General features: G+C 38.2%; 2 annotated features.

The window, feature by feature from the left end:
• Window positions 11,560-11,729: an enhancer, noted in NCBI's record as "experimental_103276 CRE fragment used in MPRA reporter constructs". NCBI's record gives its function as "activates a minimal promoter by MPRAs in K562 erythroleukemia cells, with activity observed for the non-introgressed 8:34366463 variant allele {active_cell/tissue: K562}" and the evidence as "EXISTENCE:reporter gene assay evidence [ECO:0000049][PMID:34662402]".
• Window positions 12,414-12,583: an enhancer, noted in NCBI's record as "experimental_103270 CRE fragment used in MPRA reporter constructs". NCBI's record gives its function as "activates a minimal promoter by MPRAs in K562 erythroleukemia cells, with activity observed for both the introgressed and non-introgressed 8:34365609 variant alleles {active_cell/tissue: K562}" and the evidence as "EXISTENCE:reporter gene assay evidence [ECO:0000049][PMID:34662402]".

Genomic DNA, 19,881 nt, shown 5'->3' with positions numbered 1-19,881 from the left:
TGGGTGTGTATACATATATATATATGTATGGTTCTATGGTATTCATCATATATATAGTGTATACATATATATGTATGTATACACACACATAAACACACACACAGACAGAGAGAGAGAAGAAAAATTATCACAGTATAAATTATGATGGTAAAAATTTGGAAGCTACTAAATATCCAACAGTAGGTGTGACTAAAGTGGCTTATGACACATCCATATTATCAAAAGCTGTGTAGTAATTCCAAATACAATGAAAACTATTCTGTGTGACAGGAGAAAATTTCATGACATATTTTAATAAAAAAAGTGGAAACAAAATTTTATAGACAAAAAATTGGGGATGATTGGTCTAACTGCTGTCATAATCATACACATATGTCTAGTGGTAATTTCTAGACAGTAGGGGGATTTTTCTTCATTTTGGTCCTCTTAATTTTTATGGCATTGAATATGTATTACCACTGTATAACATTATTTAAAATATATATACAGATGGTCTTGACTTACGATGGCTTGACTTACAATTTTTCTACTCTATGATGATGCAAAAAAAAAAAATGCCTTCGGTAGAAACCATACTTAGAGTTTTGGATTTTAGTCTTTTCCCAGACTAGTAGTAGGATACTCTCTTTTAATGCTGGGCAGCTGCTGTGAGCCACACATTCCAGTCAATCACGCGATCAGGAGGGTGAACAACTAATACTTGGCATCTTTCTAAAGGATGCTATACCTGCTAAACCATCAACAAGTGTTGATGCCCCCATGCCTTCTACGAAGGATTCTTGAACTTTATCAGAACAGACAGAAATTGATGACTCTGTTGTTGTAGCGCCCCCACCATCCAGCAATTAATTTTAGCCCAATGCTTCAATCATTCTTCAGGCCCAATGTGCTTTCAACTGTGTACATTAATGGTGAGTACCCATACACCTATTCTGTTTTTCTTTTTCAGTATTCAATGAATTACATAAGATGTTCAAAACTTTAGCATAAAACAGGTTTTATGTTAGATGATTTTGCCCAACTGTATGCTAATATAAGTGTTCTGAGCACATTTAAGATAGGTTAGGCTAAGCTATGATGTTTGGTATATTAGGTGTATTAAATGCCTTTTCAACTTACAACATTTTCAATGTATGTTGAGTTTATCAGGATGTAAGAACTCCCCTTGTAAGTCAAGGAGCTTATTTATATATGTGTGTATCGATGTATACACACACACACACTCACATGCACACACAAAAGTTTGTAAAATTTAGATCTAAAATGGTAATACATATTTTGGAAATTTATTTTAATTCTTTCAGTATCTGAATTCTATATTGCAGACTTTTTTTTTTTGAGATGGAATCTCACTCTCTTGCCTAGACTGGAATACAGTGGCGTGATCTCGGCTCACTGCAACCTCTGCCTCCTGGTTTCAAGCAATTCTCCTGCCTCAGCCTCCCAAGTAACTGGAATTACAGGTGCTTGCCACCACATCTGGCTAACTTTTTTGTATTTTAAGTAGAGATGGGGTTTCACCATGTTGGCCAAGCTGGTCTCGAACTCCCGGCCTCAAGTGATCCACCTGCCTCAGTCTCCCAAATTGCTGGGATTACAGGCCTGAGCCACCACGCCTGGTTTACTTTTGTTGCTTAGGATGGAATCTTTTATTTGTCTTTCCTTCCTGGAGCTTCCTACTGGCATCTGCACTAATATTCCCGAACAAAAGCTCAATGAGTATGATGGTCTATAAAAGAGTGCATTACAACTGTTCCTGGGGGAGTGTGTGTGTTGCATGTGTATGCATGTGTGTGTATGTGGAGGGGAGCTTATAAGTGCTGGGAAAATAGGGGTCATTACTGACTTCCCCAATTCTGCCAAATTTGATGCATGTGTTTGAAATATTTTTAGGAACTTTTACTGTAGGCAGTTTTGTGGGGAGACATCCCAAAGCAGGGAGTGAAATGGGAAAAAGCAGACAGTCCTCTTAATGATCAATCAGCTTGCTTCTAGGAGCCAAAAGACACGTGGGGATTGGCAAGCCTCATTTTACAGAGACTCTGCATGCTTCAGCTTTGCCTGCTGTGCATTGAATAAAGTGGTGGCGGGTACTATGAAATCTATCCCAGCACCTTGTGTTGGCAGCCACTTGCCAAGTAAATTCAAGAGCTAACAGCTGCCTTGGAGCAACAGTGTGGCTGCCACCTCCCCAGACCAAAGCGCAAAACTGGAACCCATCATGCTTCTGTTTCAGTGAGCAGAAGGGTCTGAATCAGGGGAGGTCTGTCCAGAGTCAGAAAATATTTGCCAGCTGAGAAACTGGATCATTACTCTTAAAGCTTCCTTTCTAGTACATTAAAATCTTTGGAGGTTACCTCCGTGGGATCTGAACACTGCCAAGCAAAATTTGAATTAGGCACAGAGAGAGGGAAAACTCAAATGTTTTATTTTGCTTCTAGGCAAACATATGCCTATTTAAAACTTGGTTTCTTCTGTGTATTTATTTTAAAGGATGTTGTGAATTTGATTACTTTTCAAAGGAGAATGAGTTCCAGTTCTTGCTCCACACCAGTATTTTGCCACATTTTGGATAAGAAAGTATCACATTTGCAGACTAACAGCCCTTCAGTGTGAAGGTCATTAGAATAAACAGTATCACAGGCAGCACTTTTCTGCATGAGCAATGAGACACTCATTTCTGTGCTACCAACTTACACTCAGCCTAACTGGGTAAGAACTCCATCTTCTCAGCTCAATCCCAAAGGGAACCCCTGTCCCTTCACCCAGAAGAATTCCCAACCTCAGGGCAAATTTTGAGAAGGAGTTTGCTATTCATTGAATTACTTCCCCTCTCTTTGGTACTTGGGGTGAGCTCGAAGAGGTTCATAAATTTTACCTCTTCTGATGGACTACTAATTCTCCAGCTACCGTGGGAAGAGTTCAAGATTTATGGGAATGAAACTCTAGCAGATACTTTTCTGCAGAATAGTCTGGGGCTTTAGTTAAATCATTGCAGGTTTAGAGAATCAGAGGTGAGGCTTTTCAGAATTCCAAATCGTCATAGTAGGTTCTGGTTTAGCATGCCAGTCCAGGGAACGTTTGGGGGCTGGAGTTGTCTGTTCAATTTCTTGAGCTTCCTTCCATCTCTAAGATTCAGTGATATCACTGAGTAGTGCCTTGGATTTGCTGCTCTGTGCCTGGGTCTTACCTTAACCCTGGGAAATTTGGAAAAAAAAAAAAAAAAGAAAAGAAAGAAAACTGATTATGGGCTCCAGAAGATTATGTAACCAGCTGCACAGCCTGAAATTTGATTTTGTCCTTTTTCCAGATTAATTGCAGTGGTGCACGAGTCAAGCCCACCTGTCTTTGCATAAACACACAGGAAGATAAACAACAACTACAGCAGAAAAGAGTCTGACCCAAGGGTCCTCTCTGGGCACAGACTCTAAGATGAGGAGGGCTCAACAGCTCCCAAACTTCTGACTTGCTAGGAAGGTAGCCCCTGCTGCCTTGTAACTGAAATGTATTCACTCTTTTTGTCAAGTTGGTGGGATGGCTATAGCTTTGTGGCAGCTTGCACTTTGACTTTCTGGGAGAATAGCAGAGAGCTAGGTGCAACAAGGAAACTGCTATGTTTGATTAATGCACAAGATTCTGCACCATGGTTCTGCCAAAGCCTCATTTCAAGATTCCATGTTGTACATTTGCAAGGAGCAAATATTCAGTACAGCCATCCTCTTTGTAACTTGTCATACAAAAGAATCAATGAATTCTATGACTGTCAGTCAGGCTGTAAGCGAAGATAATCGCTCTCCTTTGCACCTGCTTCAGCCCCTGCCATCATTGTGTAGAAGGAAGGTCTAAATATTGTGATTTATTTGCATGGCAGTATGTCTTTTTAAAATTACTCCCTTTTACACTCATCTGAAGGCTTGGAAATTTCAACAGTGATCAGTGTAGTAAAAGCATGGAAGAACAAGACCCTCATGAAAGGTTCCTCATGGAGAGGACTTGTTTAATATTATTACACTTAGACAATGATTTTTATTCCAATATAAGTTTTTTTTCTTTTATTTTTTTGTTTTTTGTTTTTGGAGACAAAGTCTCTCTCTGTCACCCAGGCTGGAGTGCAGTGGCATAATCTTGGCTTACTGCAACCTCTGCCTCCCGGGTTCAAGCGATTCTCATGCCTCAGCCTCCTGAGTAGCTGGGACTACAGGCACGCACCACCACTCTGGCTATTTTTTGTTGTTTTTTTGTATTTTTTCATAGAGATGGGGTTTTGCCATGTTGCCCAGGCTGGTCTCCAACCCCTTGACCTTGGGCAATCTGCTCTTCTCGGCCTCCCAAAGTGCTGGGATTACAGGTGTGAGCCACTGCTCCCAGCCTATTCCCGTGTAAGTTTAAGTTTTTCTGAATGAAGGAGGGGGTTAGGCAGGATGCTGAGCTATACAAAGTCAAGAGTGAGGATGGTAGCACCATTTAGAATAATAAGGAAGTCTCTAGGAGGAGCAGAATGGGCCAGAATGGGCCAGAGTGATTCATTCTGTTTGGACATAGTATTTGAGGTTAAAAGAAAGTACATAGAAGTTGGGTTTACCTAGGTTTGGGGATCACAGACTGAGTGTGTCCACAAGACAAATGGATAATGAATTCCAGGAAACTAAGTTCATAATAGAAATGGCTAAACACAGAAAATACATAAGGGATTGGAAGTGACCAGGTCTGATTTCTTGTCTGTTAACCATTTTGAGGACCATGAGGTTTCTCTCTCTGACTTTTCTTGATAAAATTCAGAGTTCCTTTCCCAGGGCTGTTGACAGTATAACAAATTCTAAATCTGATGTCGAACATATGTTTCCAATACATACAGGATATTTGTTCAAGGGATGCAAAAGGTCTGGAGTTCTCTTCCTAGGCCATACTTTCTAAGGACTCTTTTTAGAGGCTGCCCGGTTATTTAGCTCTTGTAGTTGTGTTACTGACTTAGGTCTCTAAAATATGCAAATGTACATGCGACTCCCTCTTAGCTTCTGTTTTTGTTTTTTTGTTTTTTTTTTCTCCGAAGCCTCACTCTGTTTCCAGGCTGGAGTGCAGTGGCGCGATCTCAGCTCACGGCAACCTCCGCCTCCTGGGTTCAAGCAATTCTCCTGCCTCAGCCTCTCGAGTAGCTGGGACTACAGGTGTGTGCCACTATGCCCAGCTAATTTTTGTATTTTAGTAGAGACAGGGTTTCACCATGTTGGCCAGGATGGTCTCAATCTCTTGACTTTGTGATCCATCTGCCTCGGCCTCCCAAAGTGCTGGTATTACAGGTGTGAGCCACTATGCCTGGCCAGCTTCTGTTTTTTCTTAAATCGGGGTTCAAGAATCTCTCAATTAAACACAGTGACTAAAGAATAAATCTCAATATTCTCTTTCCAGGATGTGTGAAAACTGCCACCCTGCCCATACAGGTAACCACTCGAACTTTGATGTCTAATAGTAGAAGATATCTTTTAGGTTAAACAATGAGAATGAGATAAATGTGGCAGAATCAATGGAAGGACTTCTGTATTTCAACCTGTTACTCTGGCTGTATTTGGAGAATATCCTGGTCCAAAGTTCTTACTGGCTTCTGAGGTCGCAGCCTGTTGAGTCCAAGCCAATTCTTCTTACAAGTTCTATTACTTTATTTATTTTTATTTGCAAGCCAACTCTTGATTACAACGCAGTGCCTGACAATTGATTAATGCCAGAGGATTTTTGTGAGGATTGACCTCTTTGGCCTCTACAGGATGTAGAACTTCCTATTTATAAGTCTTCTGTGCTTTGTTCTTTGATCGGCTTATATATAGTCCTTTCTGTGAGGTGTCCCCACTGGCTAGTGGCAGCGATAAGCTGGCAAAACTCCAGCAGTTGAAATTACATTTCACAGAAGCACAGGAGATAATGTCATATAGCAAATACATACAGGGCAAATGTCACATAGCAAACACATGCTGAACCATCATAGGGAGAGTGCCTGCCCCCTCACCTGGGATTAGGAGCAAGCCAGTTTATTTGACAGAGGAAAATAGCCCATATAATTTGCATGTGCAAGTGTGTGTCTGTGTGTGTGTGTGTGAGTGTGTGTAGTTATTTAACACAGATCATTATAGGTAGACCTTTCCTACTGGCACAATTGGACAGATCAAAGAGATATAATGTGTGGGATAAATGCGGGACTTGAATTTGATATTATAAGATAAACAGATAATATAGGTGGAGAAGAGGAGAGGATAGAAGAAAAGATGAACAAAACGGAGGGGGAAAAGAGAAAGTTTTAGATGCCACAAAATACAAAGGATGTTGGAGCTCCATCTAGTAAACCAACCTACATGGGCTGGAATAGTCATCAATGAGGAGCTTGGGATCTGACAGCTGGATTGTGGAGAGACCACAGAAGGCTCTGGATTCTTACAAAAGGTTACCCTGCACAAGAGTGTTCTAAACAGAAGGTGATATGTGGATGAGAGGGGGCTGGTCAGTAACAACCCTGCGCCAATGAGCTGAGAGGAGTAATTGATTCAACCCTCTTCACCTGTGGTCAAAATATTTTTTCTTCATTTCCAGAGCTAGTTAAAAGAAAAATGTTAATGTATAAGTCTGTCCCAGGCATAAATGGCTGATTAAGTTTCAGTGTGTTTTACCTTGAGATCACAGTTTCCTTTTGACGCATGACAAAGGAAGCTGAAGTGCAGGATTCCCTTAGCATCTTAACTCTAAGAGGTTAGGGGATGTAAGGAAATCAAAGGCTGTGCAAAACCAGGGAAGGTGATATGATGGGCCTTGGAGGACTTAAGGGACATGAGCTCAAGTTTGAATCACAAGAGAGATTTCTATTCCATTTTCTCATGTTGCAAAACAAGAGATTTCTACTCCATTTTCTCATGTTGCAAAACTGGTTTGTATTCAATGCAAATAATTTATAAAGTACAACAACAAAATGGTACTAACCTATAACCTCACCATTCAACAGGCTTCTTCAAATCTTTCTTGTAGGCCAGAATTTCCAAAAGTGAGTTACATTAATTTAATATCCTGTGAAATTTAAGTAAGTGCTATGGATTAAAAGATGCTATAGATGCTGGACCCGGTAGCACAAGCCTGTAATTACAGTGCTTTGGGAGGCCGAGGCAGGCAGATCACTTGATGCCAAGGGTTCAAGACCAGCCTGGCCAACATGGTGATACTTCATCTCTACTGAAAATACAAAATTCTCAGGGTGTGTTGGCTTGCACCTGTAATCCCAGCTACTCGGGAGCCTGAGGCAGGAGAAATGCTTGAAACCGGGAGGCAGAGATTGCAGTGAACCTATATCATGCCACTGCACTCCAGCCTGGGAGACAGAGCGAGACTCCATCTCAAAAAAAAAAAAAAAAAAGGTATAGAAATAAAAAGTTAAGTGGAGGCTGGGCGCTGTGGCTCATGCCTGTAATCCCAACACTTTGGGAGGCCAAAGCAGGTGGATCACTTGAGGTCAGGAATTGGAGACCAGCCTGGGCAACATGGTGAAACCCCATCTCTACTAAAAATACAGAAAATTAGGCGGGCATGGTGGCTGGTGCCTGTAATCCCAGCTACTCCAGAGGCTGAGGCAGGAGAATCGCTTGAACCTGGGAGATGGAGGTTGGAGTGATCTGAGGTCGTACCATTGCACTCCAGCCTGGGCAACATGAGTGTAACTCCGAAAAAAAAAAAAAAGTTAAATGGAGCATTAAGTTTAGAAAATGCTAGGTTAAACAAATAGATTCTAAATATGTTAATGTATTTTTAATTTCCCAAATGTAAATCAAATATCTGTGATATTTTAACCTGCCAATTAATGAGAAAAGAAAGTATTCTATATATAAGTGTATCCTCCTCAAATGCAAAATGAAATTTGTTTTCATAAAGTAGCAATGTGTTTATCAGAAATATATCTGCATATTTCTAGATTCTTTTATACACCTTCTCTTGATTGCCCGTAATATGAACTCAAGAGAGTACAGGACATCAGAATGTCAAGAGACTTGTCCCAGGATTGCACAGGTTTCAGGTACAAGTCATAGAACAAAATCTGAGAACCCCAAGCTATAGGCAATAATCAATTTCATAGACAAAGTATTTACTATGAAAATAGGAGCTCTAAAATAAGTTAAATTAAGGTGGGAAGCATGAATGGTATGAAGTAAGATTTTAGTCTCTTCTCTTTAGTCTTTACTTGTATTCTTCTATTCCACTTGTAAGATTGTGTGTGTGTATGTGTGTGTGTGATATGTGTGTGTGTGTGTGTGTGTATAATTATATAATTCCATAGTAGATACAGAAACCCTTAAAGCAAAAGGAAGGATGGAAAGAAGGAAGGAGGGAAGAAAGGGTGGGAGGTAGGGAAGAACAGAAGGAAAGAAAGGGGGTTGGGAGGGAGGCAGAAAGGGAGGGAGGGAGGTAAAGAAAAAAAGAAAGAAGGAGAAGAAAATATTCTACAGCTGTGAGCAGGAGAACACAGGAGGTAATTCCTGATGAAGTATAAACTGAACAGCTTTGGCTGTCTTACACACTCTAGTGAACATTGCATACTAAATAGCCCTTTACACACTCCCCAAGATTCCTGTGGCTTTGAATTCTAATCGGGCCTGAACAGGGTTTTCTGGACACAAGCCTAACCCTGCTGATATTCCAGCATTTGGATTTACCTCTTCATTTGGAGCAAGGACAAACAAAAAAATCACCTAATCTCCATCCCCCAAGTATCATAATTTGAATTTCTGTAGAATGGCTTGAGTATTGCCAATTTCATGGATCTTTCCACCATTGCTTAACTGTGGATGCTTCAATCCCCACTGAAGAGCTCCCCCACCCTCACTCTTCCAACCAGCCTGTCCTACCAACTACCAACTAAGGCAGCACAGAAAATTGGAAGAAAAACCTGTGTATGTACATCTATTTTGATTCACAGATGTATCTTAAGAAAGAAGTAACTATCCAGCATAGTGTGATGGCAGGAGCAAAAGGATGATTCACTCAATGCCCAGAGACTTCCTTCCTAAAATGTAGCCCTTGCCTGCTTGCTAAAGACATACATTTTTGAAAGAGGATTTATTCACTTGTATTTTTTAATCTCTGATACAACATAATCACCTTAAAAGCTAGTGTAGTTGAAAGGGCATATGGTATGGTGAGTGGGGGGCTTATGTTCCAGCCCTGGCTCAACTAGTAAACAACTGCCTAATCTTAAATACACCATGTATTTTTCTTTACTGAACCTCACTACATTATCATTTACAAAATACAATAATTAGACTTCAGTATATCAAACCTTGAAATTGCAGAGAAAATATTACATTTTAATCTATTATTAGTCACATCTGTTTTGTATATGAATGAGTTTCAAGTTCTTTCTTGAGAGAAGATTTAACAAGACAAGAAGAATTAGAATTTTGCTTGTTTTATGTGGAATATGGTGACAAAATTACAAGAAGCAGAAGTGAAAGAATCGCAGAGCACTAAGGCAAACTTTATAGCATCATTTTGTGTGTGCTATTGTTACAATTTATAGGAAAAAATAATACCTTTAATTTCAGCTTAGTCTAAGTTTGATTGCAAAATCTACTTTCTTACCAAACTAACCAGTCTCATTGTGCTGTGTCATGCTTTGAGGTAAGAGTGAAAGTAAGTCATTATCAATGTTCAACTTTGAAATAACATATCATCTCTTTATTATATATCTTGCCTTGTTTCACAAATGTTTAACCCAAGCCTGTCATCTAAGGAGGCATGCCAAAAAGAGTCATATTTCAACTTTTTCCTACATATAACTTCCTGATTGGAAGTCTGCCTATATATATTTAAGCTTTTTGATTCTATACCTCTGAAAATTATGGAGTCTTAAAATGTTATAGCTCAAGCCCAGCCCATTAAAATAATTCCTTCTTCAACATCCAAGACAGGTAGCCATTCCATACTGGGTAAAAAAATTCTTCCTATAATCACCCATTCTGAATTCTGGGAACTAGGGGCTCAATATTTTGCCAGGTGATCTATTCTAATTTTGGATATTTTAAGACTATTAATTCTTTCTCTCAATAATTTGAAGAGGATGTTTCAACCTTTAGGTTTGTGCATCCAATCCACTATCAGAACATATAAAGCTGTTCCCAATTTTTATCACTGTTATTTTAATATGTAGTGTCATCTGTCATGCCCAACCTCAATTTCCTTTTTTCTAGACCCACACTGTCCAATATGGTAGCCACCAACCTATATGGCTATGATGGTTAGTTTTATGTGTCAATTTAGTTAGGCTTTAGCTATCACTTATTCAATCAAACACTAATCTAGGTGTTACTGTGAAAGTATTTTGCAAATATGGTTAAGTAAGGGAGATTATCTTGGGATAATATGTTTAGGCCTCATCTAATCAGTTGAAAGGTTTGAAGAGCAGAAATGAGGTTTCCCTGGAGAAGAACAGATTGTGCTGTGGAATGCAGCTTTAACTCCTGCCCAGGAGTTTCCAAACAGCCCTTCTTTATAGGTTTTTAACTTGCCTAGCCAGCCCCCAATATAAGCCAATTCCTTGCAGTAAAGCTCTAGATAGATACATAGATACATACATACATACATACATATATAGATGGATAGATACATAGATAGATGCATAGGTATATAGATACATGCATACATACATACATAGATACATACATACGTAGGTGGATAGATAGATATAGATAGATAGGTGATAGATAGATAGTGAGCTACATATCCTACTGTATTGTTTCTCTGGTGAAACTCTTGAGTTATATAGTGGTTATTTCCATGTAAATGTAAATAAAATAAAATTAAATAAGATTTAAAAGTTACGGTGGCCATATTTCAAGAATTCAATACCCACTTGATACTAATGGCTACAATGCTGAACACCACAGAAGATTTTCATTATAGCAGAAAACTCTAACACAAAGCACTTTTCTAAAGCAAGCCTTTCCAGTGTCTTCCATCATTTCTTATTAAACATACTGATACAGCATCACATCACTTTTTCTTGAATATTCACTAATATTTTAATATCCCTGTTAAGATATGATACTGAAAATGGAATATTATATTCTCCAAAGGAAACATTAGAGTCTCAGGATATGAAGGAATTACCATCCCTTAAACTGGATATTATTGAAATAGTTCCCAAAGCTATCTAGCTCTGAATAGTCATGCTGGTTATTCCATCTATTTTGACAATTTTTTTCCACATTTCCTTCTTTCTTGTCAGTAAATAATTTTATTGTATTAATAAAACTAATCAGTAGAGAGGAGATGGAGGAGACATAATCTAACCTAAGCATTTTCAATGGTGACAGATTTTTTATTGAAAAGATTGAATTACTAATAAATAGAAAATATGAATAATAATATAGGAGTAGGAGAGGAGAGAGTGAGAATTAAGAGAGACATTGAGGAGTGTAGAAGGGAAATTAGAAATAAGAATAAGCCTAAGAGGGAAAAGGAATAGAGACTTCTAAGCAGGTGAAGACTCAAAGAGGTTTAGCAAGACAGGTATGAGAAAATATGACTTTAGGAAGTACTTTATTTGAAATGAATCCCCTCCAATGTTTAAATGCAAAGGTACAAGAGAGGACTGGGCTTCCTTTAAATCACTTTTAATTGCTTGATGATTTTTATTTTTAAAATTTACTTTCCAATGAAGTATTGCCCTGTGCATGAATTATGAAGGTCCAGAAATTATTCTGTATTGATTATATTTCTATTAATTTGGCCTTAGATTATAGCTGAATTTATTACAGTTGCATCTCTTTGCTGGTTTATATTCAGTTTACATCAATAAAAGCTGTTAAATACTTTTGACGTGAATGCTATTAAGTCTGGTCACTCCTACCTTTAGGTAACTGATTGGTAATGTATATGTTGAAATTTAAATTTCTTGCTAAATTTGCTTCTGTGAATTTTGTCCTGTAATACTGGTGTGTTAGAAATTTTTCAGAATTTTCTCTGATGGCTTATATTTTAGCTCTCACAATTAGAATGCCTTTAGCTCCAGGTACCAACTACCTCTGTAAAACTTACTAAAATAAGGAAACTTAGTTCATTAAGGTAGAGATTGAGTGAGCTTCAAAATTTATTGATGCAGGACTTTAACACTGTCATCAGAGTTTCAGGTTTGTTCTTCCTCTCTGATGTGCTTCCTACAGATTAGTCATGAAATAATGTACTCTCATGATTCTATGGCAGCTGCCAAGTAAAATCAGAGCTACTGCTTTCTTGATCACATACAGGAAGGCAAGAGAAGCTTTCTATGGCTCTCCTTTAGAAGTTAAAGATTTTCCTAGAAGCTTCCAGCAAATCTCATCCAATGTCTCACTGATCAGATTAGGATGATGTGCCCATTTTGGAACATCTCTGGCAAAGAAATAGAATCTTTCTTAGACTAATTATATCCACATCTGTAGGCAAGAATAGAGTCACCATTCTTTGAATAAAATGGTGCCTATGTTGGGAAGAAAGAAGAGATTAATGGAGTACGAATAAATCATCAACAATTTTTACCATGATAACTTCTTCGGTTTTGTGTGATAGATAATTTTTGAATTTTATGTATTTATCCTATTTTCTTTTCTTTTCTTTTTTTTTAGATGATGTCTCACTCTGTTGCTCTGGCTGGAGTAGAGTGGCACGATCTTGGCTCACTGCAACTCTGCCTCCTGGGTTCAAGCAATTCTCTGGCTCAGCCTCCCAGGTAGCTGGGATTACAGGCAAGTGCCACCACACTTAGCTTTTTTTTTTTTTTTTGAGACCGGGTTTCATCATCTTGGCCAGGCTGGTCTTGAACTCCTGAGCTCATGATCCGCCCACCTCGGCCTCCCAAAGTGCTGGGATTATACTCGTGAGCTACCGCGCCTGGCCTATCTTATTTTCTAATAACAACGTTGATAAGGCGAGATTCAGGGGTGTCTTCAGAGATCAGTTTTCAACATGACCTCCATTTATTAACTAAAAGGCTAAGTGTTAATTGAAAAATCATTTGTAAATTATGAATTCATTAGAATTCAGTGTTTCTAAATTGCAATAATTTGTGATATGTTGTAATTTCTAGCTATTAAGGAAAGTCCAAATATTTGCTGAGCACCTACCATGTGCCAACTCCTTTTTCCATGTTGGGGATATACAGTTAACTGAATAGGCTAAAATGCCTGCTCTGAAGGAGCTTTTCATTTAATGTGGGTAAGGGGACAGTCAATAAATAAATGAAATACATTTTTAGCATATCAGATTGTGTTACATATGGAAAAAATAAAGCAAGATAGGAGAAGAGGTGTCAGGGTGTAGTGAATGATTATGATTTTAAAAAGAATGGTTAGTAAAATCCTCAGTGAGAAGAAAGCAAAGATCTGAAGGAGATAAAGAGATGTGAAGACAGAACATTCCAGGCATAGGGAACAGCAAGACAGAGAGAAGAGTTCAGTGACCAGAAAGGAGGGAAGAATAACAGAAAAGGAGGAGGTCTGAGACAGTGCAATACGGGGGTGGGAAGCAATCCTTTTGAGCTATTGTAATACGGCCCATTTTAATGATTTGGGCTTTTATCTTAATGGATATAAGAAACGTTGGAGAACATTAACTATAAAGTAATCTAAATTATGTTTTTAAAGATTTTTTTTGGCTACTGTGTTTGACAACAAGTTGTAGGAAGATGAAGGCAGAAGCTGAAAATCACCTTGAAGACCACTGTGATAATGATCATCGCTTGAAACAGAATGATGACAGCGTTCGTGTTAATAGGAGATCAGATTCTGGATACATTTCGGAGGTAGCAATCAGGATTCGCTAGCAGATTCTATGTGGACGTTAAAAAAAAGGAGTCAAGAAGCCAAGGTGACTTTTTTTTCTTTTTTTGCCTGTGAACCTAGAATGATTGAGATGCTATATGACAAAATGGGAAAGACCACAGGAAATTTAGGTTTAGAGGGAAAAGCAAAAGCGTGATTTTAGGTACACGAAGTTTGAGGTTACTATTAAACATTGCAGTAGTGGTATCTATAAGTAATAGAATATGCAAGTCTACAATTCAGAGGTGAGAGCCATAAAGATACGAACTTGAGTCATCAGAGTAGGATTGGATAAGATCACCAAATGTAGGTAAAAAGAAGTGACCCAAAATCTGACACTCTGAGCAAGCCTAATTTTAGAAGTTAAGGAAATGAAGAGGAATCAGCATAGGAGGCTGAGAAATAAGAGTCAATGAGAAGAGCAACACTGGGAGAGTTGTGTGCAGGAAGCCACGTGAAGAAAACTTTCCCAGGGGAAGGGAGTAATTAAATTGGTCAAATACCACTAAGTCAGATTGAGGACTGGAGCTCTTGTTAAGAGTAGATGGGGTGAGATATTGGGGATGGAAGTCTGACTGATGTATATGCAAGAAGAAGAATGAAAGAGGAAGAATTGTAGAAAATTTAGCCAACTCTTCTGGGCAGTTTCAGTTTATGGGAAAAGAGTAGTAGCTGAAGGGGTTGAAAAGAGAGGTATTGTTATGAAGACAGGAGAAAAATAATATGCTTCTATATTAATGAAAAGTATGCAGAGGATAGGGAGTAAATGATGATTATGAGAGAGGGGAGAATTTAGACACAGCACCGATGCCCTCTAGTTAAAAAAGAGGGGATGACATTCAGTGCACACTTATTCAAAATGTGAGAAGCTAGCACATGAGTCATTTGGAGACGCCATAGTGGGATTAGAAACAGTCACAGGTAAGTATCTTGTGTTCAACACATATAGGCCCTTCACAGATCAATGGTGGTTAGATATTATAATATATTTTATCCCCTTCAAAAGTTAGTTTTGAACTAAAGCTACACTAACTATTACATACTTGCACATGATTATATTGCATTATACACTCATAAAAATAATTTTAGATTTTGTTAAAATTAATTTTATTATTGATTTAAGGATGATATAATCAAAAAGACCTAAGCAATACTAGGTCCATTGAAAGAGAGTGCCAAGACTGAAGCCTAGTTGGGACTTCTGAGACCTATGGGTGGATTAAAGGAGTTAAGGTTCGTGGGAGCCTCAGACCATTTATTAGTTTTCTATTGATGCATAACAAAACATAGAGGTTTAAAATCACACAGATATATTATTTTATAGTTTCCAGGGTCAGGAGTCCAAACACTTGTTAGCTGAGTCTTCTACTCATGTTTTCACCAGACTGAAATCAAGGTTCTAGCCAAGGCTGGAATTCTCATGTGAGGGTAAAGATCCTTTTCCAAGCAACAGTTAGCAGAATTCACTTCCTTGAAGCCCTGTGACTGACATCCCTGTTTTCTTGCTCTTTCTTAGCCAGAGGCTTCTCTCAGCTCCTGAAGCCACCCACTATGTCATGCCACACGGACCCCAGAGGTAGTTTAAAGCATGGCTATTTGTTTTCTTCCAGGCTAACAGGAACACGTTTTCCTGACATATCATTTTCTTTAAAAAAATTGTATTCTTTAAATTTTGTGGATACACAGTAGATGTATACATTTATGAGGTACATGAGATGTTTTGATACAGGCATGCAATGTGAAATAATCACATCATGGAGAATGGGGTATCCATCCCCTCAAGCATCTATCCTTTGTGTTACGAACAATCCAATTACACTCTTTCAGTTATTTAAAAATGTACAATTAAGTTATTATTGACTATAGCCTCCATGTTGTGCCATCAAACAGTATGCATTATTCATTCTTTCTATATTTTGAATGCATTAACCATCCCCACCTCCCCTCACCCCTCACCAGTTCCCCCACTACCCTTCGCAGCCTCTGGTAACCATCCATCTACTCCACATCACCTTCTTTCAAAGGGCCTTCTGATCAGGTCAGTCTCACCCAGAATAATCTCTTTGAATTAACTCAAGTCACCTGATTAGTAGCAAATCACAGGAGTAATATCCTGTCATAGTCATTGGTTCCTCACTCACTCAAGGGGAGAGGATTCCACAAGGTATGTACAAAAGGGATGAGAATTTTAGGGCTATCTTAGAATCCTGCCCACTGCAGGCATTAAATTTCTAAACAGAAACAGATGTAAGCTCCCCTCACCACACTTGGTTTTGGATATTACTGAAAGGGAAGGGAATTGAAGATAGAGCTTTGGGAACAGTATTATGTGGTGGGCAAGTCTTTAGTTATAGAAAGAGACTTATTGTCTGATGATGGCCTATAGGCCTCTGAAAGGAGAAACTGCTGTTCTTTGTAATTATCGTTCTATTCTCAGTCATCCACAGACCTCAACTTCATTATGTAATCAAAATGTTGCACTTAGATGCAACTGATGCAATATTTCACTTTAATATTTGTTGGTTTGGTTTGTGATTTTGCATGGCAATAGGAGTAGAGATTAATAAGCTTTCATTTATAAATGTATCGTGCCAGGGTCTTAGAAGGACAGGTGGGAAGGACTGGTGCTTAGAATGGTATTAGGTAGAAAGTCAGAAAGCCACTCTTCAGATTCCTAGAGAGTGAACCAGGAAAGAGGAAGCTAGCTAAGCCAGGAAGTCTATCTATATGGTAAGAGGAGAGGATGCCAGGTCAGAATGATGGCAGGATGGGGAAGCAAACGCAATTATTTTCCATTGTGTTCTCATAGAACCTCAGTCAGAGAGTTCAACATTTCCAAATTTGCACGTAGTATCTGGCTGCACATCAACGATAACCACAAACATAGAAATATCATATGCACCTTATGATTAAGTATACCTCAGAATGGGCAAAGAAATTTCCATTTGAACTCTACAATACCTAGGGCTGTAAAAGCATAGGATTACTTGGGAAGTGAAAAATGTTCACGTATCTATGGCTCTGTTTGTAACAAAGACAATTATTAACTTTTCAGAAATGTTGCAAACTCAAACTGGTTGTTAAACAGTCATTTTTAAAACTTAAGTTATATAAGCTTACAATAAAATAATTTATATTAAAGTCAAAGATAATAAATGTTTGAAACTCATTACTTCCTAATTATTTCATTACATTTTATTATTACCTATGGTGTTGAGTTTATTTATGTCTGTTGTATCTCTAGAATGGAAATACTATATGACAGTGCATTACTGTGCATCTCATCCCGACTCTACTTGGTAATGTCACATTGGTGGCTTGATCTTGGCCATGGAGTATTTCCAACTCTGAAATCAACAAACACAACAAATAGGAAGTTGTCTTAGTGGAAGCTGAAAAAGGTTTCAGTTTAACCAATATAATTATATAAGGGTTAGAAATTGTTTAACAGTACAGCACATCAAATGTAATGACCATACATTTTTTGGGAAATTGCTAGTAGATTGGGAAGAAACTCTATTTGTCAAATCAGAGTTGAACTGCAACCGTAGCTTGGCTTCAAATGCAAAATTCTAATAGAGATCAATAAAGGCATTCTTCAGGAATCAATGGCTATATGACCTATAGCTTAAAAATTATTATATAATTTTATATTATTTGTAAATGTGTTATACATCCTTCATGTCAGTAAAACCGATAATAAATGTGTATGCATATATGTATACATACAACTCTATCTATGTACATAGATGTGTATTCATTTCTGAACCCCCTTGGGAATCAGATTGTTTAACGTTTCCCAGGACACCAGTGGCTCTAGGCCAAAGATACAACTCAGTGTGTTTGATGGTGGTGCCCACTAGACAACAGCCGGGCATAAAACACATGGGTTCAGGTCCTGGCTTAGCCACTGATGTGTGAGATTTGGAAAGTCACTTCACTTCCTAGTTTCAGGTTTCCCTTCTGCAAAATAAATATAGCAGTTTCTGATACAACTGCCTGACAGGATTAATGTGGGAAACAGGTAAAGTAATGGATGTAAATTTCCTTTGAAAAATTGTGGTGGACAGGATTACCAAAGTCTTTGCCCTCATGGAATTTATATCTCTGTGCATTCGGTGAAGATTCCTGGGGCATGTCAACTGGACACAATCTCAGAGATCACCTGGCCCAAGTCCTTCACTTTACAAATAATGAGAGAAGACCTCAGAATTGAACTACTGAGTTTTTGTGAGTATTGTCATGAGGTGTTGATATGGTTTGGCTGTGTCCCCACCCAAATCTCATTTTGAACTGTACCTCCCATAATTCCCACATGCTGTAGGAGGGACCCGGTAGGAGATAATTGAATCATGGGGGCAGATTCCAACATGCTGTTCTCATGGTAGTGAATAAAGTCTCATGAGATCCGATGGTTTTATAAGGGGAAACCCATTTCACTTGATTCTCATTCTCTCTTGCCTGCCACCATGTAACATGTGCCTTTCACCTTCTGCATAATTGTGAGGCCTTCCCACCCATGTGGAACTGTGAATTAAACTTTCCTTTATAAATTACCGAGTCTTGGGTATGTCTTTATTAGCAGAATGAGAACAGACTAATACAGGTATGTATATATCTAATATGGCATTTTTCCATTCTTAGCCTGAGTAATTTCCAGGGCCAATTCAATAATATAGGAAAAATAGGGGAAAATAGCATATTTCATCATATTATTCAACATATATACCAAGCAATTGTAGCCCGATGCATCACAGGCTGGGTGATCTGTTCAGCCAGGAGAACATTTAAGGAATAATTCCACTAACAAATCTTCTTGAAAATTAGGGAATAGGGTTGCTCTTTCAGGATCCTTGACATAGAAAGATTTACTATTTAGATTATAAGAAATAATGTGCAGAAAAGTTATTTGATTCAAAGTAAATATCTCTACCCAACTTCAGTCTGAATATTAAAATCCCTTTCAATATTATGATCCAGAACTCATAGTGATTTATCTTGTCTTATTTGAAAGATTTCTTCATTCTTTGCCTTTGCCTTGTAAAAGCCTATACTCATTTATAGTTTCTCAAGTAGACATCAATTCTTAGGTATACAATAATTCAGTGCATTCCTGATAGGGAAGAAGTCTCCATCGACCAGCCGATGTACATTGTGTGGTCTTGTACCAGATATGTCCTGAATTTTGCTGCAATCTCTTTAAACATCCAGACTATAAGTCTAATCGATCTAAATGAAAAATAGACACATGGATCTATACCTCAAAAGCCTGTGTTATCTCCTGGTAAGCACTGACTGATGGAGTGAATTACATATGTGCAAATATGAATCAGGTAACTGATGATGTTGAAGAACTTACTGTTTTTTCATGATCCCTTTCAGCTGTTAGGCAAAAACTGAATTCTTACTGGGGACTTCCTTCTCCACAAAGCAGTGAGCTCTTCTGATGTTTATTCTAGTAGGTGAAACTGTCTATCTGTCTGTCTGTCTGTAGTCATAAATTCTGTTAGGTATTATTAAAAGGTGATTTTCATAAGATGTCCCATGTTTTAAAGAAGGGTTGCAGCACAATCTTCCCGACATGAAAACCAGATATAGTGTAATTTCCCACTTATTTTCTTTAGCCTGTTTGGAGCTAAGAGTCCAGTCATTGCATTAACATGCTGGTAGCTGATTGCACTTCAGGCTTTCTCCTCTAATGATTTCAGGTAATACAGAGGTAGAAGAGAATATGATTAATGACACAGAATCATTTCAGCACTTCAGAGTTTATTAATCAAGTGTGTGATACACTAGGGCTCTAACTGGAATGCCAAATTGCAGGTGCCCATGTGCCATTTCTAAATGAATCTTAACACATGTAAATCTGCTGTATGTGAAGATGTAATTATAAAACAACTATGGAATGGCTCAGGGCCAATTTGAGGCCTGCTCATTGGCTGTCAGAATTTATTCCTGATTTATTTTGACTTTACTCACCACTGGAGTACAGGGAAAGAGCTATTCCATGTTCAAGTTCCTATAAAGCCTCTCTTTTTGTTTTTCCTTTGTAACCTAGGTC

This window comes from Homo sapiens, chromosome 8, assembly GCF_000001405.40.
Source record: "Homo sapiens chromosome 8, GRCh38.p14 Primary Assembly".
Taxonomy (NCBI): domain Eukaryota; kingdom Metazoa; phylum Chordata; class Mammalia; order Primates; family Hominidae; genus Homo; species Homo sapiens.
Note: the sequence above shows the minus strand (reverse complement) of the source record. Positions and strands in the feature narration are given on the sequence as shown.